Raw genomic sequence first — 27,889 nt, forward strand, 5'->3', positions numbered from 1 at the left:
TCAAGGGGCTCATAATTTTCAGATCCATCCTCAGGTCAAGAGAGAGCTTTCCCACTCTCTGGTCTCAAGAAAAGAAATCAGGATGGGGTGTAAGTAAGAAACATTTGTGTTTCAAGGAGGAAGCTTTATTTGGGAAGAGTGCGGTTCTGCTCGGCCCTGATCAGCTCTGCCCTGCCCACCCCATCTCAGCCAGGCGGCTTTACTTCTTCCTGATCTTCAGGTCTTTCTTCTTCCTGATTTCCTTGGCCAGCTCCCCAATCAATCTCCAGTACTCATTGAACTTGAGCTCCGAGTCCTGATTCACATCCAAGCTCTTCATCTTCTCATCAAGAGAGCCCACATCCTGAGGAGACACCAAAGGGAAGGGTAGAGTTAGAAACTGGGGTTCTTGAGAAAGTAGGGAGGGAAGAACTGTCAGCTGCTATTCTCTCAAGGCCCTTCCCTCAGAGAGCAGTGGCACCTGCCCCTTCTCTAAAGAAGGAGGCTGCAGCCCCAAAACTGCACCGCCACGGGGTGCCTCTCCAAGGAGCACCAGCAGAGAAAGGTGGGGGGGCCTGAGTCCTAGTGCTTGCCGTTGTGTAAATACTTCCACGATGGCTGCTTACAAACCACAAACAGGTTGTCGCTGAATACAAAGCTGGAAAGAAATCCACACAATCTTCTCTCACCAGCACACCACTGCAGCTGCTGTGGGATCGGCCCAAGGAATGCCAGCATCTCAGGGAGATGCTGCAGGGTTGGACCCAGTCAGAGCCTTCTGGGGCCACCCTCCTCTTTCTCAGAAAGCTGGAGAAGCTCCCAGTACTTAGCTGCTCATTTGCACAACCCTTGTGTCTTTTCATTTATCCAGCTGGGTCACTAGATCAGGGGAATGGCAAGGGCATGGAGTATCTGGGTTTTTAGGGGCCCTTGACAGGGTATCTCTCATAGGCCTGTGAAATCAATGGCAACAGTAAACTGGATGTCCTGATCGAAGGACCTGTTGCCAGATAAACAAGCACAACCAAAAAGTTGACTGTTGAACAATAGTTCAACATCAAACCAGAGAAGGGTGCCTCAGGCAGGGTGTGAGGCTCAAGGTTTGAACCAACATTTGGATGCAGACAGAGAAGACTCACTGAATCTCTAAAGGGAACAAAGCTGATTCACAGAAGAACTAAAAAAGACTTTTTTTTAAGTTACAACCACGTTTAATTATAAAATACTATAAGCACTGCCAGTGGAAGGCAAGGATGGCTACTGTAACATTATATTGGGGGTGCATTCAATCAGTAAAGAGAAATAAATAAGTATTAAGAAAGAAGAAGCAGGAAGGGTGCGGTGGCTCACGCCTGTAATCTCAACGCTTTGGGAGGCTGAGGTGGGCGGATCACTTGAGGTCAGGAGTTTGAGACCAGCCTGGCCAACATGGTGAAACCCTGCCTCTACTAAAAATACAAAAATTAGCCAGATATGGTGGTGGGAGCCTGTAATCCCAGCTACTCGGTAGGCTGAGACAGGAGAATTGCTTGAACCTGGGAGGCGGAGGTTGTGGTGAGCAGAGATCGCGCCATTGCACTCCAGTCTGGGCTACAGAGTGGGACTCTGTCTCAAAAAAAGAAAAAAAAATACAAAAATTAGCTCGGTGTGATAGTGCACACCCGTAGTCCCAACTACTTGGGAGGCTGAATCAGAAGAATCGCTTGAGTGTGGGAGGCAGAGGCTGTAGTGAGCCGAGATCAAGCCACTGCCCTCCAGCCTGGGTGACAGAGTGAGACTATCTAAAAAAAAAAAAAAAAAGAGCTGTGACAGAAACAAAACAAAGGCCAAATACCAAATACCATACCAGTATCAGTGGGTTCCACAGCCCTGGATTCAACCAACCTAGAACCAAAAATATTTGAAGAAAAAAATCCACAAAGTTCCAAAAAGCAAAACTTAAATTTTGCCCCATGCTAAGTACTAAGTTGAATCCATGTGAATGAAGTGATGAGTAGGCACTGCATTATGTATTACAAGTAACCTAGAGTTACTTGTAATTTAAAGTATACAGGAGGATGTGCATAGGTTATATGCAAGTACTATCTGATTTTATATAAGGGATTTGAGGCCAGGCATGGTGGCTCACACCTGCAATCTCAGCACTTTGGGGAGGCCAAGGTGAGAGGATCGCTTGAGCCCAGGAGTTCAAGACCAGCCAGGGCAACATTGTGAGACACCCATCTCTACAAGAAAAGGACAAAAAAAGGTAATTGAGCATCCAAGGATTTTGGCATCCAAGGGGGTTCTGGGAACAATTCCCATGGATACAAAATGACAACTATATATTTCATATTATACCACAGGGATATTAAAAAAAACCTTGAATAAATAGAAAATGGAATAAACATATATTTTTCTTAAAGAGAAAGGCTCAATCAGCTAAAAATGTTGATTTTCCCTAAAATATATCTTTTATATGATCCCAATTAAACTATCTACAGGATTTTTTTTTTTTTTTGAGATGGAGTCTTACTCTGTCGCCCAGGCTGGCGTGCAGTAGTATGATCTCAGCTCACTGCAACCCCCACCTTCTGGGTTCAAGCAATTCTCCTGCCTCAGCCTCCCGAGGAGCTGGGATTATAGGCACCCACCACCACGCCTTGCTAATTTTTCTATTTTTAGTAGAGATGGGGTTTCACCATGTTTGCCAGGCTAGTCTCAAACTCCTGACCTCAGGTGATCCACCCACCTCAGCCTCCAAAAGGTCTGGGATTACAGGCATGAGCCACCACGCCCGGCCTACAGGATTCTTTTTAACATTATAAAATGTTACTGGCTGGGCATGGTGGCTCATGCCTGTAATCCCAGAACTTTGGGAGGCCAAGGCGGGTGGATAACTCGAGGTCAGGCGTTCAAGACCAGCCTGGCCAACGTGATGAAACCCCATCTCGGGCAACCCGCTCGGGTCTCTCACACTGTGGAAGCTTTGTTCTTTCGCTCTTTGCAATAAATCTTGCTGCTGCTCAAAAAAAAAAAGAAAGAAAGAAAGAAAGAAACCCCATCTCTACTAAAAATGCAAAAATCAGCCAGGCATGGTGATGCACGGTTCAAGAATCGCTCGAACCCAAGAGGTGGAGGTTGCAGTGAGCCGAGATCACACCACTGCACTCCAGCCCAGCCTGGGTGACAGAGTGAGACCTCGTCTCAAAAAAATTAAAAAAAAAAAAAATTGAAGTTCCATTTCACTCAGAATTATATAAGCGTAAATCAGAAAAAGATATCATTTTCACATCATAGATTAGCAAAAAGTAAAAGCTCAATAACACCCAGTTTGGACAAGTACACAGGCATCGCATGAAGTGTGGGTAGCCATATAAACTGGTACAACTTTTTTAGGAGGCAAATTGGTAATCACAAAAATTAAAAATGAAAGCTGGTCTCGGTGGCTCACCCCTGTAATCCCAGCACTTTGGGAGGCCGAGGCAGGCAGATCATCTGAAGTCAGGAGTGCGAGACCAGCCTGGCCAACATGGCGAAACCTCGTCTCTACTAAAAATACAAAAATTAGCCAGGCGTGGTGGCACAAGCCTGTAGTCCCAGCTACTCAGGGAGGCTGAGCCAGGAAAATCGCTTGAACCTGGGAGGCAGAGGTTGCAGTGACCCGAGATCATGCCACTGCACTCCAGCCTGGGTGAAAGAGCAAGATCCTTTCTCAAAAACAAATTAAAAATGAACATGCCACTTAACCTAATATTTCTACTGCCAAACATTTACCTTATGTTGTTATTTTTCCACCAGTATGTAGGTATACAAACAGATATTTGCAAGAAGGAAGAAATGGACATAAGAAAAATTTCCATCAATAAAGGATTGGGCTGGGCATAGTGGCTCATGCCTGTAATCCCAACACTTTGGGAGGCCAGGGCAGGAGGATCACTTAAGCCTAGGAGTTCAAGACCAGCATGGGCAATATAATGAGGCCCTGCCTCTACAAAAACATTTAAAAATTAGGCCTCAGTTTCCATATATGTGAAGTGAGGAATGGGGACTGTGTTTTCTCTTGGCCTCCTTCCAGCTGTGATGGTCTGTGAATCTCCTGGAAGCCAGCTCTGGGTCCAGTCCTGTCTTGGGGAAATTAGACCAGAAAAGCACAGAACATACACAAGAACCCAACAGCATCATCTGATACAAGCCCATACTCCCACTGGCACACAGTATCTTTGCTTACCTAATTACATGCACGCACACGTACAGAGGCCCTGTCTCTACAAAAAAATTAAAAAATTAGCCAGACATGGTGGCACATGCCTGTAGTCCCAGCTACTCAGAAGGCTGAGGTGGAAGGATCACTTGAGCGTAGGAGGTAGAGGCTGCAGTGAACTGTAATCACGCCATTGCACTCTAGCCTGGGCAACAAAGTGAGACTCTGTCTCAAAAAAAAAAAAAGAGGTATCAGTTGTAAGCTGGTAAGAACGATACAGTGGAGAAGGAAAATTTGAGGACACAAGAAAGAGAGGAGTAATTTCAAGAGGAAAGTCTTTTTTTTTGAGACGGAGTCTCGCTCTGTCGGTCACCCAGACTGGAGTGCAGTGGGTGAGAGGGGATGGGATCCAGGGCACCAGTGAAGGGTTGGCCTTAGGGGCAGTGACGTATCATTTGCATAACAGAAGACTGCTGATTTCGGGGAGGGAGCACATACAAGTTTCCTGATTGCTCCTATTTTCGTTTCCTTTTTTTTTTTTTTCCTTTGAGACAGTCTCCCTCTGTTGCCCAGGCTGGAGTGCAGTGGTGCAATCTCAGCTCCCTGCAACCTCTGCCTCCTGGGTTCAAGCAATTTTCCTGCTTCAGCCTCCCAAGTAGCTGGGATTACAGGCGCACACAACCATGCCCAGCTAATTTTTTAAATATATTTTTAGTAGAGATGGGGTTTCACTATGTTGGCCAGGCTGGTCTCGAAGTCCTGAACTTCTCAGTGAGTAAACTTCTCAGGAAAAGGGAGAACGTGGAAAGATGTACTGAGCTTTGAGGAGAGAAGACAAATTGTGAAATAATTATCTGAAAGAACTGGTAAATGAATCAACCAGGGAAACACAGAACCGCCAGGTATTGCCAAGGGTCCCTTTTGGGGTCTGTGGTTATAGATTTAAAGTGAGACAAGTCAACAAAGCTATGCATTTTTCTCCAGCCAGATTCAGCTATCCAAGTGCAGGTGCAGAACAGTGGATTTAACTGGCAAGTTACTATAGGTGAAATGGTGGATTAACTGGGTTGAGAACAGAGAGAGACAGAATCAACGGGGTTAAGGCAGTGATTACAATTAGAAGCCTTAGAACCTGAGGTGAGGAGGAAGGGCAATGAGGACCCGAGGGATGTTGATGGAAGATGCAAAAGTGAGAGGGTCGAGAGACTGAAGGTACCTGAGGAGTCAGGGAAGTGCTGAAGTGGAGAAGCTAGAGAGGGGAACAGAACTGGAATGACAGGAGGAGGTCAGCAGATAAAGGGAAACTTGAAATCAAGATTTTGGAAGTTGTGCGTTATTTTGTTAATGACACAGTCTAAAGCATGAACAGAGGAGTGGGATGCTGAGATGTAAGAAGACAAATCTTTTTGGAAATGAGGAGTTGAGAAAATTGAAAGGCCCAGATGTTGGATGAATTGTCTGTGCGGATGCTGAAGCCACTGAGAATAACAACAGAAGCAGTGATGAGAAGAAAACAGTGAGCCAGGAGCTGAAGAGCTGTAAGGAGCGCAATAAGAAGAATGGCAGGTGGCAGATGATCTTCCAAGGCGCTGGGAAGTCTTAGAAAGAAGAAGAAACTAAAATCTAGAGATAATGGAAAGCAGAGAGGTCACTTCCTCCATTTCCAGGCCCAGAGGAAGTTGAATTTAGGAAAAAAAAAAAAAAAACCACAATCACTGCTTGACAAGGATATAAGGAATGCTGTCCCTTCAGGAGAGAACCTGAAGTTTCCAGTAAAAAAGATGAAAAAGGAAACGTCTGGCTGGGCACAGTGGCTCATGACTGTAATCCCAACACTTTGGAAGGCCAATGCAGGAGGATCACTTGAGGCCTAGAGTTTGAGACCAGCTTGGGAAACACAGAGAGACCACATCTCTACAAGTAACTTAAAAATTAGGCCAGGCGCGGTGGCTCACGCCTGTAATTCCAGCACTTTGAGAGGCCGAGGCAGGTGGATCACCTGAGATCAGGAGTTCGAAACCAGCCTGGCCAACATAGTGAAACCCCGTCTCTACTAAAAATACAAAAATTATCCAGGCATGGTGGCGGTTGCCTGTAATCCCAGCTACTCATGAGGCTGAGGTAAGAGAACCACTTGAACCCAGGAGGCAGAGGTTGCAGTGAGCCAAGATCGCACCATTGCACTCCAGCCTCGGTGACAGAGTGAGACTCTGTCACAAAAAAAGAAAAAATTAGCCAGGCAGTGTGGCATGCGCCTGTGGTCCCAGCTACTTGTGAGGCTGGGGCAGGAGGATTGCCTGAGCCCGGAAGGTCAAGGATGCAATGAGCTGTGATCGCACAGTGGCCTGGGCAACAGAGTGAGAAACCCTGTCTCAAAAAAAAGTCTGAGAAGTTGGAAGTTGTAGGGGATTTTGCAGATGAAAGACCATGAGTTTCAGAGACTCACTGTGTTCAAGGAGTCCATATTCACACACTTCAACGTGCCTGTGGATTTTCAGAAAGGATGTAAAACAAACTGTCAACAGCCAGAATGACCAGGCCTCTTCGAGGCCAGAGTCGATGAAATTTAAGACCTGACTCCAGCCTGTGAGTGCGAGAGAAGGAATGACTCTTACACCCTAGTAAGGGGATGCCCATAGCGGGTAGGGAGTCTTCACAGATGCACCCACAGACCCCCTACACTGAGGTCTATGACTCCATGAATTTGGCTGTGTTTTCATTTTTGATAAGCCCCTTTCCACTGCTAGGCCTCAGTTTCCATATATGTGAAGTGAGGAATGCGGACTGTGTTTTCTCTTGGCCTCCTTCCAGCTCTGACAGTCTGTGAATCTCCTGGAAGCCAGCTCTGGGTCCAGTCCTGTCTTGGGGAAATTAGACCAGAAAGGCACAGAGCATACACAAGAACCCAACAGCATCTTCTGACACAAGACCATACTCCCACTGGCACATAGTATCTTTGCTTACCTAATTATATGCATGGACACACAAACACACACATGTACACACCAGGCAAGAAAACTCACAACCGGGTCAGGCGCAGTGGCTTGCGCCTGTAACCACAGCACTTTGGGAGGCCGAGGCGGGTGGATCACCTGAGGTCAGGAGTTCGAGACCAGCCTGGCCAACCTGGTGAAACCCTGTCTCTACTAAAAATACAGAAATAGGCTCGGCGTGGTGGCACACACCTGTAATCCCAGCTACTCAGGAGGCTGAGGCAGGAGAATCACTTGAACCCCGGAGATGGAGGTTGCAGTGAGCCAAGATCACACCACTGCACTCCGGCCTGGGCAACAGAGTGAGACTTTGTCTCGAAAAAACAAAAGAAAACCTGCAACCATTGACACATGCAGCCACCCACACCCTTTCTTGTGGTCACCTCACCGTACTCGGCACCATCACGTCCTAAACACAGTGTCCCATAATCATCATCTCACAAAATCTCAGTCCCAGACTTCTGCCTACCTTGAGCAGATGGGGCAACTGCTGGGTAACCAGCTCTTTGAACTCGTTGACGCTGAGGCTATCCTTCCGGCCCTCCTGCCTTGCAAAGGTGAAGAAGGTGGTGACCACGGTCTCAATGGACTCCTCTAGCTCTGTCAGTGGTTCTGCTGCCATTAGGACCCTGAGGCCAAAGCTGATGTCCTCAAGGGGCTAGCTGACCTTTGTCAGGGCTGACCTGTGGAAGAGAGAAGGAGCAGAGAGGGAGAGTCAGGGAGCCCCAAGATGCAGGAATGGTTCAGAAGGTCCCTGCCTTGGTGTTATCACATCAGTCTCAGCCTGGAGGGGGCATATGGGGAAAGAGGGAGAGGACAGGGGTTGAGCTTGGGGCAGCAGACCAGGCAACGGCATCTCAGTTTTGGTGGGGGCAGGAGATTCAGCTCCAGAAACCCCCTCTTCTGTAGGTCTCACAATCCGGGATCCTTTTTAAATGTCTGTGGCTTAGGGACCCCTCTGTGGTGATCCCTCGATCTGGAGACCCCTCTACTTGAGAGGAGGTCTTCAGTTGAAGGTCCTTCTTGGAGTCCTTCAAGTCTGGTGGCCCCTCTGTGGCGTGTCTGTCTCAAGAATCCCTTCTTGTCTCACCCAGACTCACAGGTCATAAGGTTGTTTGTCTCCAAAGCTTGTTTATGTTGGGCCCTGGTCTCCGGCCACTCGCATCCGCCCACACACACTCTAACCGCTCCTCCCAGCAGAGAAGCACAGGGTCTGGCAAATGTCCCCTGTGGTCAGAGCTGGCTCCGTCTGAACAGACCCATTTTCTCTGCCCCGCTCCACCCTTACCTCTCCTCAGCGGCAGCAGGGCAGAGTGCTGAACCCAGGACCCCACAGATCCTCCCCGCTCCTGTCTCCCGGTGACAAGGGTCCTGGAACGGGGCGTCTCTGACTCCCTGCTCCAGGACGGGTTTAGTACAGGCACTCACAACCCCCTGGGGTGCGGCGGGTGGGGCTGGAAGAGGCATTCTCTTTTCTGTCCACCCCGTCACACACTCCTGCACGCGCTGTTGCTCGATCATCCAAAGCTCCTTCCTGAATTCCTGTCTGAGCTGGCTCTGGGGGAGGGACCTGGGAGCCCAGGAAGAAAAAATGATCTCCAGCCTCCCTCCAGGGTCAGCCATGAGACTCACCCGGCAAGGAGATGGGGTAGAGTGAGCTGGAGCCTCAGGGCTGAGGTTTATAAGCAGCGGGGAAGGAGGAGAGAGCTGCTTCCAAGCCCGGAGGTGTCAAATTTCCGTGGTCGATTCTGAAGACCAGAGACAGCCCAATCAGGCCGCTTGCCCTGAGCCCTCAGGTCTGGACCCGGGCTCCCTGCCAGCCACACGAGCGCCCCCACTTGGTCAGGGAGAGGAGCTGCCTGGACAGATCTCGTTCGGCAGGGGTCCCAGGGTCCTAGTCCTCTCAATACTGGGGGCTGCTGCCACCATACCCATGTCTAATCAGGAGTGTGTATGCTGAGGGGGGAAGAGGGAGGCAACCAATCAAGGGAGCTCAACACTGAGAGGCCCAATCTGAGACACACACAGAGGCCCCTTGGAATGAGATCCCACAAAGGATGCTACAGACCAAGATCCCTCAGAGAACCCCAGGCTGAGGCCCCACACACAGAGGGGGATCCAGGTTGAGACCCCCAGAGAAGAGTCCTGGATTGAAATCCCTCTGTGGGTTCTCAGACTCCCAAGACTAAGTTTCTCACTGAGGGTCCTCTCAGTGAGGCCCCATGGAGGAGCCACAGACTAAGACCCCCTCAGCAGAATTCCCCCCTTACCGGGCTCAACCAGCACAGCCAGCCACAGGTACTGCAAGGCCCAGCTTGGGGTAAGACATCCAGTGTCCCTCCCAGGACCTCCTTCCCACCTCTTTCCCCTGCACCATCCACTGCTGCCTGGAGAGAAAGGAACGGGGCAAGCAAGGCTGGGAAAGAGACAAGGGCCGCCTGTTCCAGCCCAGGAGACAGAGGGCGCCTCTGTCTGCTCCTGGCCCCTTGCCCCACAGGGTGTTCGTCTGTGAAGGGGTGGAGTCGGTGGGGGGGTCAGCGGGGGAGGGACTGTTGAAGACAGGTCTCCACACACAGCTCCAGCAGCCACATTTGCAACCTTGGCCATCTGTCCAGAACCTGCTCCCACCTCAGGCCCAGGCCAACCGTGAGTACCCTGCCCCACTGGGCTAGTCCCTGGCCTGCCAGCTTCAGGGAGAGGGGTCTTCAGAAGGGCTCCAAGAGGCTGGGGACCATAGCACTGTGGAGCACTGAGGATCTGGGAGGAGTCAGTCAGGGTGAGGGCAGTTTGGGATTTGGGGGAGACAGGGTTTGGAAGGTGGTGATGAGAGACAAATGAACTGAAGGTCGGAGAGAGAGCTGGCAGCTCAGCAAAGGAGGAAGCCAGTGGGGAACCCACCATGAGCTTCCTGACCGCCTGGCCCTCCCACAGGGAGCCCTCAAGTCCCTGCCAAGGCCCCCTCTGTCTCCCAGGTGTTGGGAAGGGTCCCAGCCCTCCCCTGCCTCGCCTCCTGTGGGGTAAGAAGAGAGCAGATACAACAGCTGTTTCTGCCCCCACCTCTCCTGCCAGCCTTAGTCTCTGCCACCCCCACCCTGCCTTGCCAAGAGCTCAGGTCCCGGGGGAGTCTGGGGGTGGCAGGGCAAAGCTCCCATGATATGGGGAAGCAGAGATGTAGGGTGCTGTGCCCCTTCCCAACTCGACCTCCACAGGACCTCCCCTTTCTCCTCCTCCCATTTTTGGCCCAGACCTCTTGACTCCTCTTTCCCCCCATTCTTACCTCTTTGTTTCCCCATCTCCCCTGCCCCCAAGTCCTCTCAGAACTGCCACCACGTAAAATCCCAGGCTGCTTTAGGGCTCCAGGTGACCTCCAGCTGCCCCTCTGGCATGGAGCAGGTAATCAAGCTACCAGCACCCCTCCCTCAAGCACCCCTTATCCCCTCATCAGCCACAGCTTGGGTTCCATCTCCCCCATGTCTCTGTGACAACTGCTTCTCAGGTCCGGAGTTCAGATGACACTCACAAGGGCCCCATTGAAGAACTGGGATGTCATTCGATCAGGGGCCATTGTCCAGCCCCCTAGGCCTGGGGAAGGATGGGGACATCTGATCCGAGACACCTGAGCTGCCCCCTCTGGGGTTGTGGAAGGCCAGACTGTCCCAGGGCCAAGGGAAAGAGGCCCCCCGGCTTGGCAGTCTTCTCTCTCAACAGACCACTCCTTTCTCCTTTCTTCTCCTACTCTCTCCCAGCCCCTTGAACTCAAAGGACCGCATGCTTTCAGCCCTTTCTCTCCCCCAACACACAGCAGCCCCATTCCCCTTGCTCCCACTATCCCCGAATCAACCAGGAGTGAGCAGTTGCAGGGACAACGCCTGCAGGTCTCCTCTCCCACTCCCTGGGAACTCTGGCTCCAAGGAAAAGGCTCAGACATTCCTCTCTCCCCTTCTGCCACCCACCAGATGGAAGGGATAATTTTGCAGAGGCAATGGGAGCATATCCCAAAGAAGCCAAAATGACATGTTCAGGAGAGAACAGAGTTGAAGGACCAAAAGGGGCCCCCAGCTGCTGACAGGAAACTCAGAGTCAGTGAGACCTCCCTCCCCCAGAAGGCGTACGCCACCCACTGGGGCTGCCATCCCCTCTACCAGGCTGACCGAGGGTACCAGACTGACTCCTTGCTAGGGGTGGGCAGCAGAAGGAAGGCTGTAGTGGACACCCCAGCCCACCACCCTCAACAGCAGAGCTTGGCTATGCTAGACAGGCAAGGTCCAGGGTAAAAATAGAGCCAGAGGAAGCATGGCCCAGTCCTGTGACCACCCCTGCCTGCCCCACCCTCCTCAATCCCTGCCTGGGCAGCCACTGCAGACATCTACCACAGGCCTCTGGAGCCAGCCCAGCTCCAACTGCTCTCTCTCCATGCCCCAACCCTGATTCCCTCTGGCTGGGGTACAGACTGAGGGACACAGAGAACAGGCCTGCACTTAGGTCTCTTGGGGTTTCCCTCACATTGTAAAATCTCAGGGAAAGATCAATTGCAGTAGGGCTCTAATCCCACAGCTATTTGAGCTGTCAGCCAGGGCCAGTCCTGAGGGTTCCCCTCACCTAGACCCCAGGTACTCCGGGCCTGGTCCTCAGCTCACTTCCATGATGGGGGTGGGTAGGTGCACTGCTGCAATGGGCTCTGAGCTGGAGACGGCGATGGAGACCCTCATCAACGTGTTCCACGCCCACTCGGGCAAAGAGGGGGACAAGTACAAGCTGAGCAAGAAGGAGCTGAAAGAGCTGCTGCAGACGGAGCTCTCTGGCTTCCTGGATGTGAGCATAGAGTGGTGGAGTGGGAGTGGAGTGGGTGAAGGTTGGGGGAATGGGGTGGACACCCCCTTGCTATCTCCCCACCCCACCTCCAGCTCAGCCTAGCCTCTTTCTTTCCTTTCCCAGGCTTCTCTCCTGGGTTTTTCCAGGCTCCCCTACTCCTCCTGGGTCAAGTCAAAATGCCCTGGTTTATTGATCACCTGTTAAGTGTTAGGCCCTGTGTAGATTCATCAATAATAAGACACACAGACTTAGAAGGGAAAGATTGACACTTAAAAGTAAACCATGAACTCCAGGAAATACACAGAGCCTTAACAGATGTACCAGAAAGGGTTATGAGAGATTATTAACCTGATTGAAGTCAGATGGCTTTCCTGAAGAGGTGGCACTTGAACCATGGATTTCCATTGGAAGATTATCTGGGTAAATGCAGACATTTTAGGAGGAGGTAACTGAATGAACAAAAGCATGGGAGAAAGAAGAATGTGGAGCATGTCAGTAGTTTCATTCAACTGGCATGAAGGATGTAGAAAACTAGGCTGCTAAGGCTAACCAGGGCCCCAAAGTAAAGAAGCCTCAGGATACGGTAGAAAGTGCACCGGTTTTGAGGTTTTATTGGACTGGGTTCAAATTCCAGCCCTGCTACTTTCTAGCTGTGGGACTTTGGGCATATTTATTTAACCACCGATTACCAATTTGTTTCTTCTCTAGAATGGAAATAATGAAACATACCTCACATTATTTGTATTAGAATTAAATTAGACAGTGCTTGTAAAGCTCCTAGTGTAGTGCTTGCTTTATTATAGGCACTGAACATACGGTAACTGGTGTCATTATTATTCATTCTGCCAGGTGAAAGAGCTTATGCTGTAGGCAACAGAAGCCCTCAAGACCTTTGAGGAGGCCTAGAAGAGTCCCATAATTCAATGCAGTTCCTCTCGCTCATCTTTGCCTCCTGCTCCTCAACCACCCCCTTGCCTCTGACTCAGTGCTGTACCCTTCCCTATACACCTCCCTCTTCCTCTCCTCCCACCACAGGCCCAGAAGGATGTGGATGCTGTGGACAAGGTGATGAAGGAGCTAGACGAGAATGGAGACGGGGAGGTGGACTTCCAGGAGTATGTGGTGCTTGTGGCTGCTCTCACAGTGGCCTGTAACAATTTCTTCTGGGAGAACAGTTGAGCAGACAGCCACATTGGGCAGCGCCCTTCCTCTCCACCCTCCCAGACCTGCCTCTTCCCCCTGCTTCCACCTCACCCCACTTATCCCTCTCCATAACCCCACCCTTGCCCACCCCACCCCCACCCCCACCAAGGGCGCAAGAGTAGCGGTCCAAGCCTGCAACTCATCTTTCATTAAAGGCTTCTCTCTCACCAGCCATCCGATGTCTGTCTCCTCTGGGATCTGGAAGTGGGTGGAGACGTGAAGACTGTTCACTCTCAACTCCCCTTATTTGGGGAAGTGTCTTATTTAGAAAGAGGTCAAGGTGCATTACATCTTCCTACTTGAGGAATGCTCAAGGTCCAGAAATGTGGGGGTTCAAGGTTCCAGTTGGAAGTCGAGGAGACATCAGCTTCTCAACTATAAAACCAGAGGAAGAAATAATCTTTTTTTTTTTTTTTTTTTTTTGGAGACACAGTCTGGCTCTGTCACCCAGGCTGGAGGGCAGTGGCACGATCTCGGCTCACTGCAACCTCCGCCTCCCAGGTTCAAGCGATTCACCTGCCTCAGCCTCCCGAGCAGCTGGGACTACAGGCGCCTGCCACCACGCCCGGCTAATTTTTTGTATTTTTAGTACAGACGGGGTTTCACCATGTTGGCCAGGATGGTCTCGATCTCCTGACCTCGTGATCCCCCCGCCTCGGCCTCCCAAAGTGCTGAGATTACAGGCATGAGCCACCGCGCTAGGCCGAAAGAATCTTCTTTCAATCAACGAACATTTACTTAAGTGGTACTATGTGTAAACACTGTAGGAACTGAGGCTCCAGCATTAAGCAAAATAACCACGATCCTTACCCTCACATGGGTAAGGATGCTGGGCCATTACTTACACACAGACACACACAAACACATACACACACGCACACGCCCAAGTGCCAGGAAGGAAAATGAAAGGGTCTTGACGTGCCAGTGGAGCAGAGGAAGGGTTGCAGATGTGTCATTCTCTCATTCCTCAAACATATGTACACTGTATTGTGCACATAGTCATTAGAAAAATCCCTTATTGAGGCCGGGCACAGTGGCTCACGACTGTAGTCCCAGCACTTTGGGAGACAGAGGCGGGCAGATCACTTGAGGTCAGGAGTTGGAGACCAGCCTGGTGAAACCCCATCTCTACTAAAAATACAAAAATTAGCGGGGCATGGTGGTACGCGCCTGTAATTCCAGCTACTCAGGAGGCTGAGGCAGGAGAATCGCTTGAACCTGGGAGGCGGAGGTTGCAGTGAGCCGAGATGGTACCACTGCACTCCAGTCTGGGTGACACAGCGAGACTCCATCTGCAAAAAGAAAAAAAAAAGAAAGAGAGAAAAATCCCTTATTGAGCAGGAAACATAGCTTATGCCCATAATCCTAGGAGTCGGGAGGCTGAGGTGAGAGGATCACCTGAGCCCAGTAGGTCAAGGCTGCAGTGATCCGTGATTCATTGCGCCACTGACTCCAGCCTGGACAACAGAGCCAGACCCCGTCTCAAAATAACAACAACAAATCAGAGAGAGAAAAGAGAAATCCCTATGTAGGTCTGCAACAAAATAAACACGGATGGCAGGTGTGGGGGGAGGACATGGAAACGCAATCGAGGACGCAAAGGTGCCCCACCCCAAGAAGGAGTAAACAGTATCTAGGCCAAGTTGGGGAGGGGAGGAAGTGAGGAGGAAAACATGGACGGGCGGTGGTGTTGGCCGGTGCAGGATGGGAGAGGAATTTGCTCCTAATACTGGCCTCCTGGGCCTTGGCTGGAGCATTTACGGCACTTCACAACTCTCAGACTGGGCGAGTGGCCATGAGGGGAAAACCAGTGCAAATTCCCCAGGCCCAATTGTCCGGAAGAAGACGAGGCAAGTCCGCGTAAAGATTTTTAGACGGTGTACCTTGGCTAGGGAACGGAGGGGCGAGGGAATTCGGGACCCAAATCCCCTCTAAGGCCCACATTAATAACTACCCCCAAGAGGTTGCAGCGCAACCACTACTGGAACGTGAAGTCCCCGGCACGCCCCAACAACAGGACCATTGGCCACGCCCCTAGGGGCGGGGCACTGCATGGAAAGCCCCGCCTTCGCCCTAAGGCTCCGCCTCTGACCTCTGCGCAGGCGTAGCTCAAATCTTTCCCGCCCTCTAGTCGTGCGCGGATCTGACGCCTGACGTAATTGCGTAGACGCCATTTTAGCCGGTCAGACAAGCACTGGACGTGGCGGCCATTTTGTTTTGGACACCGAGCAGGAGCTGGCGGCCGCTGCAGACGAAAGGCAGGAAAGGGCAGGCCGGGTGAGCAGACGGATCGGCCGACTAGACAGCCAACCAGCAACAACGAACTGAGCTCGCATACTACCGCTTACGCATCTAACCAACCGCCCATCTAGCTAACCCGAGCCCCTCCACCGTCAACTCAGGTTCGGCCGGTCCCCGGCCCGCCTGCCGGAGCCGTGGTGGCAGCCCCGGGAGGAGCACTGGCGTCTGTTTCCTTCGGTGAGTTTCGGTAGTGAGAAGGAGCCGGGGGAGGTGCGGTCTTGAGGAGCGGAAGGGGCCGGCGGACGCGGAAAGGGGGTGGTGGCATGTGGACATAGCTACGGTGTTGGAGCGTGGAGGCCCCGGGGAGGAGGCGGAGCCCCTGCGAAGGGGCGGGGGAGGGGCTGAACTGGAACCTGGTGGCGGGATTGATGGAGGTTGGGGTTTGATAGGATAAAAAGGAAACTTGGCGGGTAGAGCAGAAGTGGAAGTCTTGACAGGGCTTTGAGGATGGTAGGGAGATTAAGAAGTACAAGACTTTGAGGAATGTTGGAAATTAATGGCGGCTTTAGGGTTAAGTTTTGTGGAGGGCTCTTTGCGAGCTAATTCCCAGGTGAATTTAGAAAACCTTTCCTACTCCCCCAGATCGTCAGTTTCTTGTTAAAGTCCCTACTTGATTCTGGAGTTGAAAGCCACTTTTGAAACTAGGCATGCATATATATATGTATATATATACATACATATATATATATATTTTTTTTTGGGGGGGGACGGAGTTTCGCTCTTGTTGCCCAGGCTGGAGTGCAATGGCACGATCTCAGCTCACTACAACTTCCGCCTCCCGGGTTCAAGCGATTCTCCTGCCTCAGCCTCCGGAGTAGCTGGGATTACAGCCATGCGCCACCACGCCCGGCTAATTTTGTATTTTTAGTAGAGACATTTCTCCATGATGGTCAAGCTGGTCTCGAACTCCCAACCTCAGGTGATCCGCCCGCCTCGGCCTCCCAAAGTGCTGGGAAAACAGGCGTGAGCCACCGCGCCCGGCCCTGCCTGTATTTTCACTGTAGATCAGTGGTTCTCAACTTTAGCTGCACATTAGAAGCACCTAGGTAGCTTTCCCCCGACCCCACAATTGGTTCATTTCCAAACCTCATTACCAGAGATTGTGGTTTAATTGATCTAGGCCCAGATGTCTGTATTTTCTATTTTTTTAATTAATTTATATTTTTATAGAAACGGGGTCTTACCATGTTGCCCAGGCTGGTCTCGAGCTCCAGGGCTCAAGCATTCCTCCCGCCTTGGCCTCCCAAAGTGCTGAGATTACAGGCGTGAAGCACCGCGCCCGCCCTGTCCGGCCCTATGTTTTAAAAGCTCCTTGGATAAGTCATATGTAGTCAAGGTTGAAAATGACTGCTCTAGAGTAAAAGCCAAACTCGGCCCGGTGCGGTGGCTCACGCCTGTAATCCCAGCACTTTGGGAGGCCCAGGTGGGTGGATCAGGTGAGGTCAGGAGTTCAAGACCACCCTGGCCAACGTGGAGAAACCCCGTCTCTACTAAAAATAAAAAAAAATTAGCCGGGCATGGTGGCACGTGCCTGTAGTCCCAGCTACTCAGGAGGCTGAGGCAGGAGAATGGCTTGAACGGGGAGGCAGAGGTTGCAGTGAACTGAGATCACGCCTCTGCACTCCAGCCTGGGCGACAGAGCCAGACTCTGTCTCAAAAAAAAAAAAAAGCCAGACTCCATACTTTGATTGCTAGATTGGCTTCTGCCGTTTTTGAGAAATTCCCGGGTATTTTGTGGGCCTTGAAGTTTGTTTGTTTGTTTGGGGTTATTTGTTTGTTTTAAAGAGATGGGGTCTCAGGCCAGAGTGCAGTGGCATGATCACGGCTCTTTGCAGCCTCCAACCCCTGGGCTCTAGCGATTCTCCCACCTCAGCTCCCCTGAGTAGCTAGGACAACAGGTGCTGGCCACCATGCACCGCTAATTTTTTTTTTTTTTTTTCTTAGTAGAGACTGGGTCTCGCTTTGTTACCCAGGCTGGTCTCTAACTCCTGGCTTCAAACCATCCTGTGCCCTTGCCCTCCCAAAGTGTTAGGGTTACAGGCGGTGAACCACCATACCCAGCCACCTTGAAGTTATAATAATCTGAGGTAATTGCCATAGAAACTTAAGAACTTTTGCTGGGCGTTGGGTCCCAGTGATCCCAACACTGGGAGGCCAAGGTGGGAAAATCCTTTGAGGCCAGGAGATTACGGCTGCAGTGGCCACTGCATTCCAGCCTGAGTGACAGAGCGAGACCCTGTCTCAAAAAAAAAAAAAAAAGAAATTTAAGCACTTGAAATGTGCCCTCGTGTGCTCTTTAGTCATCAGTGATAAGGCCTTTTTATTTATTTTTGGCTTGGGCCTTGCCACTTATAGAAATGATGTCACTATTGTGATTTGCTCATTTTACGTATTGTTCTTTGTAGATTCTCGGGATTCGAAGATGGCTGCACAGTCAGCGCCGAAAGTTGTGCTAAAAAGCACCACCAAGATGTCTCTAAATGAGCGGTGAGGCAGCCAACAGCAACTTCAACTCCTTCCTAAGAAAACATTACTTAACTTGGCCCTGGGGTCCAATGCACAAAGCCAATTTTAAGCTAAATACCAACAGAAGGCTACAGACCTCTGTTCTTAGTTGCATCTCATGTGGTACACAAAACAAATTGGGCGGTTGTTTCAAAACCCCTTATCAGTAGACTTTTATGTTAAGCTGTCTGAAGTATTTATTTGGTGGGATGTATTTTAAAAGACTCCTAACACTCTTCCTTTTCACATTTTTTTACGTTGATACTGGGGTCGTGCAGCACGGTAGCATGGTACCCTGGCTACAGTAGGCTTGCTGCCCAGTCCAAGGCCAGCAGTGTTGTGTCTGGCCTGTAAGAGGCAGGTAGCAAGCCATGAATATGTCCAAAGGCCCTTGAATGTCATTCTTGGGCCTTGTAAGAGGCACTCGCTTTGCTCCATTTCACTTTCTTTCCATTCTGCTTTTAGTTTGGTTTTGTTTTGGATTCTTCTACAGTTAAGTGTTCTTCTCTTCCATTCCATTATACTTCCTTGACAGAAATAATGAGTCTCTTCACAGGCTCATAAATGATCAAACTGATGTAACTTTGAAAAGTAACTACTTGGAGTCAGAAAAAGTGATGATTGGAGACTAAGAAAAGTAAAGATATTCAAAGGCAGTTTCTATCTCTGACAACTTTGTTCATTAAGAGTGCCTTTGTTTAGGCGCGGTGGCTCATGCCTGTAATCCCAGCACTTTGGCAGGCTGAGGCGGGCGGATCACGAGGTCAGGAGTTTGAGATCAGCCTGCCCAACATGGTGAAACCCTGTCTCTACTAAAAATAGAAAAATTAGCTGGGCGTGGTGGCGTGTGCCTATAATCCCAGCTACTCAGGAGGCTGAGGTAGGAGAATCACTTGAACCCGTGAGGCGAAGGTTGCAGTGAGCCAAGATCCTGCCACTGCACTCCAGCCAGGGCAACAGAGGACAGAGTGAGGCTCCGTTTCAAAAAAAAGAATGCCTTTGATCAGTGATTTCATTAAGTTGACTTTCGACCACTGAAATTTACTTAATGTCTATTTTTGCCTCTTCTGAGGCATATGTGCTTCTCTCCTTATCTCTTTGGCTATGATAAGCTAATTATTTATGTTTGCATAATATTTATGTTTGCATGTTAGTGACATATATTTTAAAATGTGATACACTCCTGTAATTTATGAGAGTATGTTCATTGCTGTGAGCTTTGAAGGTGCTCTAATCCTTCCTCATATTTGGCCTTAGAATGCACCTCGGATCCCCCAAGGTTTAGGCTTTCTTCATTTGTCTTTGAAACTATATCTTCTGTCTCTTGTCATATCTGCTTATTGCGTGTTTTTCATACCTTCCACCTCTCTAAAAGCCGTTACCTGAGCCCTCGTTATCACTTTTGGTTGAATGTGCTGCACTTAGCTGCATTTCTAAGTTTCTGATTCTTGCAAGTTTGTGGAAACAGAGGAGTCTTTAACCCACATCAGCCTTGATCTAAGTGTACCACTTTACTTAAAAGTTCGTGGGATCTGGAGCTCCTGGTCTAGCAAGCCATGAAAATGCCAATAAATGTTTGTAATAAAGCTTTTATTTAAACATCCATTTTGTTCGACCTTGAAGCTTTACTAATATGCTGAAGAACAAACAGCCGACGCCAGTGAATATTCGGGCTTCGATGCAGCAACAACAGCAGCTAGCCAGTGCCAGAAACAGAAGACTGGCCCAGCAGATGGAGAATAGACCCTCTGTCCAGGCAGCATTAAAACTTAAGCAGGTGAGAGAATGGGTCTTAATGCTCCAGAAGCAGCTGGTGATCTCTGTGAGGGAGTCCACTGAGGCTGTCAGGACGTGATGGATGATTGCAAAGTGGCTCAGGGCAAAAAGCTGAAACTTCTCTGGAAGAAAGAGAAGTTCAGAGAATTCCAATTTTGGCAGGTACCAATAAGTAACTTTTTACTGTCTTTCTCTTTTAGGGAGTTTGCCATCTATGTGGCCTGTTTCTGTTACCAATGAGTATTAATCTTTTGTTTTCTGATCCTTAACCCTTAACATAGATTAATGGCTTATTCCACAAAGAAACTTTATTTCAGCTTTAGATAATCTCACAGCATCCTTTACTCTCTGTTAAATGATTTACCCAACAGGGAAATAATTTTATTCTTTTTCCCATAGTGCAGGGAGTTTGCATGGCCTTAGTCAAAGGTTTTCTTTTTTTTTTTTTTTTTAGACGGAGTCTTGCTCTGTCGCCCAGGCTGGAGTGCAGTGGCACGATCTCGGCTCACTGCAAGCTCCGCCTCCCGGGTCCATACCATTCTCCTGCCTCAGCCTCCCGAACAGCTGGGACTAAAGGTGCCCGCCACCACACCCAGCTAATTTTTTTGTATATTTAATAGAGACAGGGTTTCACCATACTAGCCAGGATGGTCTCGATCTCCTGACCTCGTGATCCACCCGCCTCGGCCTCCCAAAGTGCTGGGATTACAGGCTTGAGCCACCGCGCCCAGCAGTCAAAGGTTTTCAATGCTAAAATATACAGAGTAGAGTGACCCTCATTTCCACAGCACCTAAAGTTTTACCAGTAAAGTGGAGCAAGAATACTGAGTAATTTGAGTTAGGGGTTCTCTTTTTCAAATTTACAGTGAGAGATAATCCTATTCAGACCTGAAATAAAACCTGCTCTTTATTATTCATAGAATTTATATGCAAGTCCGGACAGTGGCTGTGGAAGGATATGTCCAAGCTGTGGCTGGGCGTCTGGAGGGCAGTGCCATGCAACTGTAAGGGCTTTGGTAGCATTGCATGGCTATGCATAAATTCAGCAGTTAAATATAACACCCTTACACCCCCACCCTGAACCATTGGGCTCACTGACCAAAAATAAACAAGGGTGTCTGCTTCGGCTACCTTAAGCCTTGGAGTGACTGGATTCCTCCCTGACTCAGGAAAGCAGCAAAAGGCACCATTTTCCAAGAGTAAATGGAAGTTGCTGAAGATGAATCTCTGACAGATCATTCCAAAGGACCTTTCAACAAGAAGCTTTAAGTATAGGCTCTGCAGGAAGTAGTCCCTATCCAGAGTAGTACTATTAAATAGAATTTTTTTATGTTTTTGGTTTGGTTTGGTTTGGTTTGTTTTGAGACGGAGTCTTGCTCTGTCACCCAGGCTGTAGTGCAGTGGTGCAATCTCAACTCACTGCAGCCTCCGCCTCCCGGGTTCAAGCGATTCTCCTGTCTCAGCTACAGGCGCCCGCCACCACACCCGGCTAATTTTTGTATTTTTAGTAGAGACGGAGTTTTGTCATGTTGGCCAGACTGGTCTTGAACTCCTGACCTCAAGTGATCTGCCTGCCTCAGTATCCCAAAGTGTTCAGATTACAGGCATGAGCTACCGTGCCCAGCCAGAACTTTCTACAATGATGGAAATGTTCTGTATTTGCTCTCCGGTACAGTAGCCACTAGTCACATGTGGCTATTGAAAACTTTAAATGTGACTAGTGCAATTAAGGAGCTTAATTTTTTTTAATTTAATTTTAGGCCAGGCCTGTAATCCCAGCACTCTGGGAGGCCAAGGCAGGCGGATCACTTGAGGTCAGGAGTTTGAGACTAGCCTGGCCAATGTGGCAAAACCCCATCTCTACTAAAAAAAAAAAAAAGCCGGGCATGGTGGCGCATACCTGTAATCCCAGCTACTCAAGAGGCTAAGGAGAATCTCTTGAACCCAGGAAGTGGAGGTTGCGGTGAGTGGAGTTGGCACCACTGCATTCCAGCTTGGGTGACAGTGAGACTCTGTCTCAAGAAAATAAGTAAAATTTGCTTTTAATTTAGGCTGGGTATGGTGGCTCACACTTGTAATCCCAGCACTTTGGGAGGCCTGGGCAGGTGGATCACCTGAGGTCAGGAGTTCAAGACCAGCCTGGCCAACATGACAAGACCCCGTCTCCACCAAAAATAAGCCAGGCGTGATGACAGCTCCTGTAATCCCAGCTACTCGGGAGGCTGAGGCAGGAGAATTGTTTGAACCTGGGAGACGAAGGTTGCAGTGAGCCAAGATCGTGTCACTGCACTTCAGCCTGGGCAACAGAGCGAGACTGTATCTCAAAATAAAAATAATTGAAATAGCCACATGTAGCTATAGAGGCTGCCTTACACAGCACACCTCTAGAAGGGAAACTAAGTGGTATAGTTGACATCCTTAACTTCCCTGTTAATATTAAAGGCCGGTATTGGTGGCACTTAAGGATTGGAATGGGTAAAGAACTTCCCAGCACTGTACAGTTCTTTTAAAGCACAAAGCTTGGGAGAATTAATATATGCAGGATAACTGAACGCAAGAGACTTGTGGAATGCAGTTCTAACCTGATAATTGTGTGTTAATCGGGAGTAACAGGACAGGCCGTTACGGTTGGTTACACCTACTTATGCTAGATGCATAATGTTTGGAGCCTTCCCCACTGATGAGAAGCAATTTATGATCTTGTGCTAGAAAGTTAATAATGCTTCACAGCATCTTTTTGAGAGGTTGATTAGAAAACACACACATACACGTTGGTAGTCACTTGTGGGTGAAGCCTGAAGGGGCTATACAATTTATTTTCTTTCAGATTGACTGATGGCTTTATGGACAGCCAGGCTTACTAGGAGCTTGGTTGTGTTCAGGGCTATTGCTGTCCCTTTTTCCTTTGAAGGAATTTAATTCTCTGAGATGTAGTCTTAATGGTTTTCTTTTGAGAACAGATTCTTAAAAATACCCTATCTCTGTAGTGTGTCCTTGTTCTTATATATGGCCCTGAGTTTTGTGATCACCTGAATAATTCTAACATACGTTTGGCTGGCTGACTGTGGAGATACATTTGAGTTACATGTTTATTTTTAATTTAAGGTCATCATTGTTTTAAAGGAGCTGTTTGCAAGTGCAGGCATGGAATTAGGGATTTTTAAGAAATGTAAGGAAAGGAGATTTGACTTTCTTGTGTTTATTTACATCTTAAGGTAAAAAGTGGACCGTCTGGAAATAGATTCTCAGAGGAAAAATGGAGCACACGGGCCTTTTTGAGAAATCAATCTTGTTCTTAAGTCACAAGAACTCAAGTGAACTTGTAATTTAAGTTTTGCCCAGAGTGTGATGAACTTCCTATGGTGTTTGAGTAAGCCTTTGAAGACAGTGGTAGTCCATGGGCAGGTATGAATCAAGTCATATAATTGTCAACCTGTAGTTCAAAAGCAGTACAATCCAGGATTGAACTATAGAATGTTCTTACGAAAACTTAAGTTTCAACTGGCAGTGTATGACTTCTGTAGCCAAACTAGTGAGGTAATTTGTGGAGATGCCCATTTCATGGGACCACACTTGAGCTTCTTGGAGTTTCTGCTCTGGATCAAAATTCTGCTGCTTGTATAACATGTTCTGAGGCAAAGGCTTGCTTCTGGTTTGGGATCCTTTTGACACCCACAACAGGTTTATCTCCCTTCACACCAGCATCTCACTTGCTTCTTTTTCTCTGCACTTTGAGTTGCCAAATCCTGTTGGATTGCTTTTTTGATCTCAATCCCCTAACACCTTTTCTTCCAGAAGAGCTTAAAGCAGCGCCTGGGTAAGAGTAACATCCAGGCACGGTTAGGCCGACCCATAGGGGCCCTGGCCAGGGGAGCAATCGGAGGACGAGGCCTACCCATAATCCAGAGAGGCTTGCCCAGAGGAGGACTACGTGGGGGACGTGCCACCAGAACCCTACTTAGGGGCGGGATGTCACTCCGAGGTCAGTGCTGTGTACCCTGATAATTGTCGGGCCCTACTCCCTTCCCTTTTCTCTTGGGCTGCTTATGGACACGTTTGTTTAACATCTTTAAGCCTGAATTTGTATTAATATAATAACTTCTGAAATCACATATTTTTAATAGTGCTGCATGTCTTTTATCAATACCATTCCTTTTCTGATAATGTGCAATGGTGAGAGGCTATGACCTGCGTAACAACAGGTAATTCATGTCATCTCCATTCCATTTTAAAACACCCTGCTGTTGCTTGAATCAAAGCACATTCAAGTTCTAGAAACAAGTCAAACATAAGAAATTTATAGGTCTTTTGGCCTATATCTCTTTGTTCCTGGTGCTAGTAAAACACTGATACAGCTGGAAAAAGAGGACAAGTTGACCCACAGCACTTACCTATATATGTTCATTTGGGGCACTATTACTCTGTTCCCTGTATAGTTCTTGTTCCCTAGAAGAATCTGTTGAGATCAGGAACCATAGCATTTATTTTTAAATTTACCATAATGCTAGGCATCTATCTGATTATTCAGTAGATATTTATTAAATGTATGTACTTACTAATTGAATTAACTCCCAACTTCCAAAAATGGATTTGTGGTCAGACTTGTTGAATTGATTGAATAAAGAGTAGCTTAATCTGTTCACAGTATGCAGCTTGCCCCAGCCAACCTAAAAACTAACTGAATTACCTTCATTTAACCCTCACCGCCTTCCTTTGGTTAGAATCTACTTTGTGTCTCTTGGATTTACCTGCATATACATTGTATGCCTCCTCTCTAAGGTCAAAACCTGCTCCGAGGTGGACGAGCCGTAGCTCCCCGAATGGGCTTAAGAAGAGGTGGTGTTCGAGGTCGTGGAGGTCCTGGGAGAGGGGGCCTAGGGCGTGGAGCTATGGGTCGTGGCGGAATCGGTGGTAGAGGTTAGTCAGCTACCAACTTCAGAGAGTAGCTCCCCCTTACTTTCCTCCCTTAAAAACTCAGAGCCACCTTTCTGCACAGCTTCAAGTCATAGGCAGGCTTCTTTGTTTGTCTTGTTTTGTTATTTGAAACTGGCTTATTTTTCAAATTACCATGCTGGTAGTGCAAAAGTCTCATGATTTTTCCAAGAATCAATCAAGTGCATATTATAGAGCCAGATTATATGCCATCTTCCTCCAAGCTCTTGCAAATTTAAATTGTATAGTTGAAAATACCCCCCAAAATGGTCAGTTTAGGGTTTTGCCTTTCTCTGCCCCTGTCCCACCACCATCACCACCACATACCACCCTGTAGCTCCAAATCCTGGTTTGAGTCACATGAGAATATAGAAGAGAGAGAGAGATACAAAGATGAAGTAGAGTTAAGAGGGTGGTGAGACTTGGAGCTGGGCATTGGCTCTGAAACCAAATAAATTCAATGTCACATTTGGTGCCTGTGGAGAACCAGAGATGACTTTTTTTGCTTAAGGTAGAGAGCAAGATGGAATTATTATCAGTTAACTAACTGGCTCTTATTGATAATCTTGCCTTTGAAATTTATTGATGTTTGTCTTGTGACCTCATGACCCAGATTGGGAAAGAGTTTAATGATGTTGCTGCTGTTAATACTAAATCTCATGGGAGCCTTCTGGTTTAGAGCTTAGTGGAAAACTCCCAACACCTGTCCAGAAAAAAAACACTATTGAAGCCCCTGTGTATATTTGCTTTGGTTCTCTTAAAAGGTGTCTTGGGTCTTCCATAACTTATGACCTTGAAGTTGCCAAGGAATAATAACTGTTAGGAAAGAAAAGTTGATAACCAAGGGCTTGTTTTCTTCTCTCCCATTATATGATACTTACTGAGTGAAGTGCAAGCTAGTTTGGGTTTCAGGATGAAATAACATGTTTCCAAATTATCTTGACTTGGATCCTGAGAGACATCACGAGGGTGGGAGAGACTAAAATAGCTTTTCAAAAAGCTGAGTTTGTTTTGTTAACTGAATTCACACTGCTTCTCAGATAACCACAATTGTCAGTTGTCATAAGGTAACTAGAATTAAAGGTAGAAATAGCTAGGACAACTCAAAATATTTTTTCAAATCTCCCCTACATTGTTCCTGTGTCAGAAAAACTCAGTCTCCTGACACATGAGGTCAGCTAGCTCATTAGACTTGATAAGTTTAAGGACAGGTGAGATGACTTTCCAGAAGGGTCTCCAATAAACTTAATTTGAAAACTGTCTTGTCTTCACACCCCTGATGCTCTGTGCTCTTGTTACCACCTCCCTATCTTACCAAATGGGGTTATCTGTCATGTATTTTAATTATGAACTTAGTGAATCTCAAATGTTAGGTAATTTTATCTTAGGATTGATTAAGGTTTTTTAAAATTATAGTTGCCAGTTAATTATTTTCCTTTATTGATAGAATAAAATTTGTTAAAATAGCATTTAGAGATGATCATGTGATAGAGGATTCATTATGTGTGCTTTCCATGTGTTGCTTTCTACCCATTGTGTTTCCTTTTTTTCCAGATTTCTCCTCTTTGCCCTGCCCTTCAGCTTTTCTCAGCTAGGCCCCACTGCTCTAAGGGGCATTTACTACAGCACCTATTAAACTTACTTGTAACTGTCTCTTTTTTTTTTTTTTTCCCCTTTGGGCCAGGTCGGGGTATGATAGGTCGGGGAAGAGGGGGCTTTGGAGGCCGAGGCCGAGGCCGTGGACGAGGGAGAGGTGCCCTTGCTCGCCCTGTATTGACCAAGGAGCAGCTGGACAACCAATTGGATGCATATATGTCGAAAACAAAAGGACACCTGGATGCTGAGTTGGATGCCTACATGGCGCAGACAGATCCCGAAACCAATGATTGAAGCCTGCCCATCCTCCCATGAGAGACTCTTGTTAGTCAACACATCTGTAAATAACCTTGAGATAACAGATGAGAAGAAATCTGATTGATGCTGGATGGACCTATCACAATAGGCTGTGGACTTACTTGCCACCAGCTTGTGCATTTAGTGTGTTCCTTTTACTTTTTGATACTGTGTTGTATGAAACCCTTTTGTCCTTTGATTTGGTTTTTTGTTTTTGTTTTTTTAGGGGGGAGGGGGGGTTTCCCCTCCTTTGCCCAGACTTCTCTTTGAACACAAATGCATTAGCCTTGTGGCTAGAACACCCTCTTCCTACCTCTGTCTCCCCTCACTTGTCATATGCTCTGACATGCTAACATTTCTTTTGTTCATCCCTGTTGCCCCCACAGAAACATCCCAGAAAAACCGGTCAGTGTTCCTTCCTCCCTGATCCTTAGGTTTCTGAAATAGGGTTCTGTTACATCCTCTTCGATAGCCTGTTTAAAATGTTTAGAAGGTCTGGAGCTCAAAAATGCGTTCTTCCACATTGATAATTTAGTAAACTGAGAACATTGACATCACTACAGGGCAGCATAAGAGGTTGCTTACATGTGGTAGCAGCTCTGGTTTGATTCAAGTTGCTACCATGTACATTGACAGCACATATACCATAACCAGCGTGTTGGGTTGAATTGCACTTTCTACCTTTGTATGAGATTTACAGACTTTCCTTCTGGGTTTGTATCATGACCAGAGGGGTACTATAGGGTTGGTTTATACTGCAATATAGAGGATCAGAAGCCATTTGATTTGGTAGGTGTGTCAGAAGGGAGAATGATGGCAGACGAACTGCTGGAAGAGGTCAGAAGATAGCCATGCTAAAATGCAATTATATCCTCATGTTTATCCCAAACTAATCTTGGACTTTTCCACTCATTAGCTTTGTTTTGCCCTTGTTTCCCTTGAAGGTTTAAGTTCAACCATATTCTGTCAACTGTTCAGTTTCAGTGGAATCTTGTATTTCTGGTTCATTATAACAAACTGTTCGCTTAAATCCACCCAGGACTCTCTTTATTTGAGGTGCCTCAAAATGCCATGGCTACTTTAATGATGTTTTTTTTTTTTTTTCTTGTGACCGAGTCTCGCTCCTGTCACCAGGCTGGAGTGCAGTGGCGCGATCTTGGCTCTGCAACCTCCAACTCTCTGGTTCAAGCGATTCTCCTGCCTCAGCCTCCCGGGTGGCTGTGACTACAGACATGTGCCACCACACCCAGCTAATTTTTGTATTTTTAGTAGAGATGGGGTTTCACCATGTTGGCCAGGATGGTCTTGATCT

The 27,889-nt window shown here is 48.0% G+C and overlaps 3 protein-coding genes across 33 annotated transcripts, besides 4 other annotated features; 2 read left to right on the forward strand and 1 right to left on the reverse strand.

Moving 5' to 3' along the window:
- Nucleotides 1-103: 103 nt before the first annotated feature.
- Nucleotides 104-15,666, reverse strand: S100A13 (S100 calcium binding protein A13). 27 transcript variants are annotated; one of them, XM_047427433.1, is made up of 8 exons: nt 15,263-15,666; nt 13,460-13,545; nt 13,339-13,368; nt 12,316-12,383; nt 9,426-9,542; nt 8,788-8,903; nt 7,625-7,838; nt 104-343 (listed from the first exon to the last, which is right to left on the reverse strand). In XM_047427433.1, exons 7-8 carry the CDS (start codon nt 7,775-7,777, stop codon nt 200-202), a joined length of 297 nt encoding a protein of 98 aa, XP_047283389.1. In that variant the 5' UTR covers nt 7,778-7,838; nt 8,788-8,903; nt 9,426-9,542; nt 12,316-12,383; nt 13,339-13,368; nt 13,460-13,545; nt 15,263-15,666; the 3' UTR covers nt 104-199. The 27 variants fall into 27 exon arrangements, with proteins under 27 accessions (XP_047283389.1, XP_047283401.1, XP_047283400.1 ...); XM_047427445.1 differs by having other exon boundaries at nt 8,788-9,542; nt 13,470-13,545; XM_047427444.1 differs by having other exon boundaries at nt 8,788-9,542; nt 12,316-12,416; nt 13,470-13,545.
- Nucleotides 8,232-9,057: an enhancer, noted in NCBI's record as "H3K27ac-H3K4me1 hESC enhancer chr1:153599403-153600228 (GRCh37/hg19 assembly coordinates)". NCBI's record gives its function as "activates a minimal SCP1, AML or CMV promoter by ChIP-STARR-seq in naive H9 embryonic stem cells {active_cell/tissue: H9 hESC(naive)}" and the evidence as "EXISTENCE:reporter gene assay evidence [ECO:0000049][PMID:30033119]".
- Nucleotides 9,739-13,344, forward strand: S100A1 (S100 calcium binding protein A1). Its single transcript, NM_006271.2, has 3 exons — nt 9,739-9,801; nt 11,814-11,967; nt 13,003-13,344. The coding sequence occupies exons 2-3, from the start codon at nt 11,827-11,829 to the stop codon at nt 13,144-13,146; spliced, it is 285 nt and encodes a 94-aa protein (NP_006262.1). The 5' UTR covers nt 9,739-9,801; nt 11,814-11,826; the 3' UTR covers nt 13,147-13,344.
- Nucleotides 9,884-10,707: an enhancer, noted in NCBI's record as "H3K4me1 hESC enhancer chr1:153601055-153601878 (GRCh37/hg19 assembly coordinates)". NCBI's record gives its function as "activates a minimal SCP1, AML or CMV promoter by ChIP-STARR-seq in primed H9 embryonic stem cells {active_cell/tissue: H9 hESC(primed)}" and the evidence as "EXISTENCE:reporter gene assay evidence [ECO:0000049][PMID:30033119]".
- Nucleotides 15,345-15,454: an enhancer, noted in NCBI's record as "active region_1750". NCBI's record gives its function as "activates an Ori minimal core promoter by ATAC-STARR-seq in GM12878 lymphoblastoid cells {active_cell/tissue: GM12878}" and the evidence as "EXISTENCE:reporter gene assay evidence [ECO:0000049][PMID:35858748]".
- On the forward strand, nt 15,371-27,611 carry CHTOP (chromatin target of PRMT1). 5 transcript variants are annotated; one of them, NM_001206612.2, is made up of 6 exons: nt 15,371-15,648; nt 17,877-17,958; nt 19,600-19,753; nt 23,548-23,734; nt 24,532-24,669; nt 26,369-27,611. In NM_001206612.2, the coding sequence occupies exons 2-6, from the start codon at nt 17,894-17,896 to the stop codon at nt 26,572-26,574; spliced, it is 750 nt and encodes a 249-aa protein (NP_001193541.1). In that variant the 5' UTR covers nt 15,371-15,648; nt 17,877-17,893; the 3' UTR covers nt 26,575-27,611. The 5 variants fall into 5 exon arrangements, with proteins under 5 accessions (NP_001193541.1, NP_056422.2, XP_016856482.1 ...); NM_015607.4 differs by having other exon boundaries at nt 23,551-23,734; XM_017000993.2 differs by lacking the exon at nt 24,532-24,669.
- Nucleotides 15,795-15,874: a silencer, noted in NCBI's record as "silent region_1342". NCBI's record gives its function as "represses an Ori minimal core promoter by ATAC-STARR-seq in GM12878 lymphoblastoid cells {active_cell/tissue: GM12878}" and the evidence as "EXISTENCE:reporter gene assay evidence [ECO:0000049][PMID:35858748]".

Source organism: Homo sapiens, chromosome 1, assembly GCF_000001405.40.
Source record: "Homo sapiens chromosome 1, GRCh38.p14 Primary Assembly".
Lineage (NCBI taxonomy): Eukaryota > Metazoa > Chordata > Mammalia > Primates > Hominidae > Homo > Homo sapiens.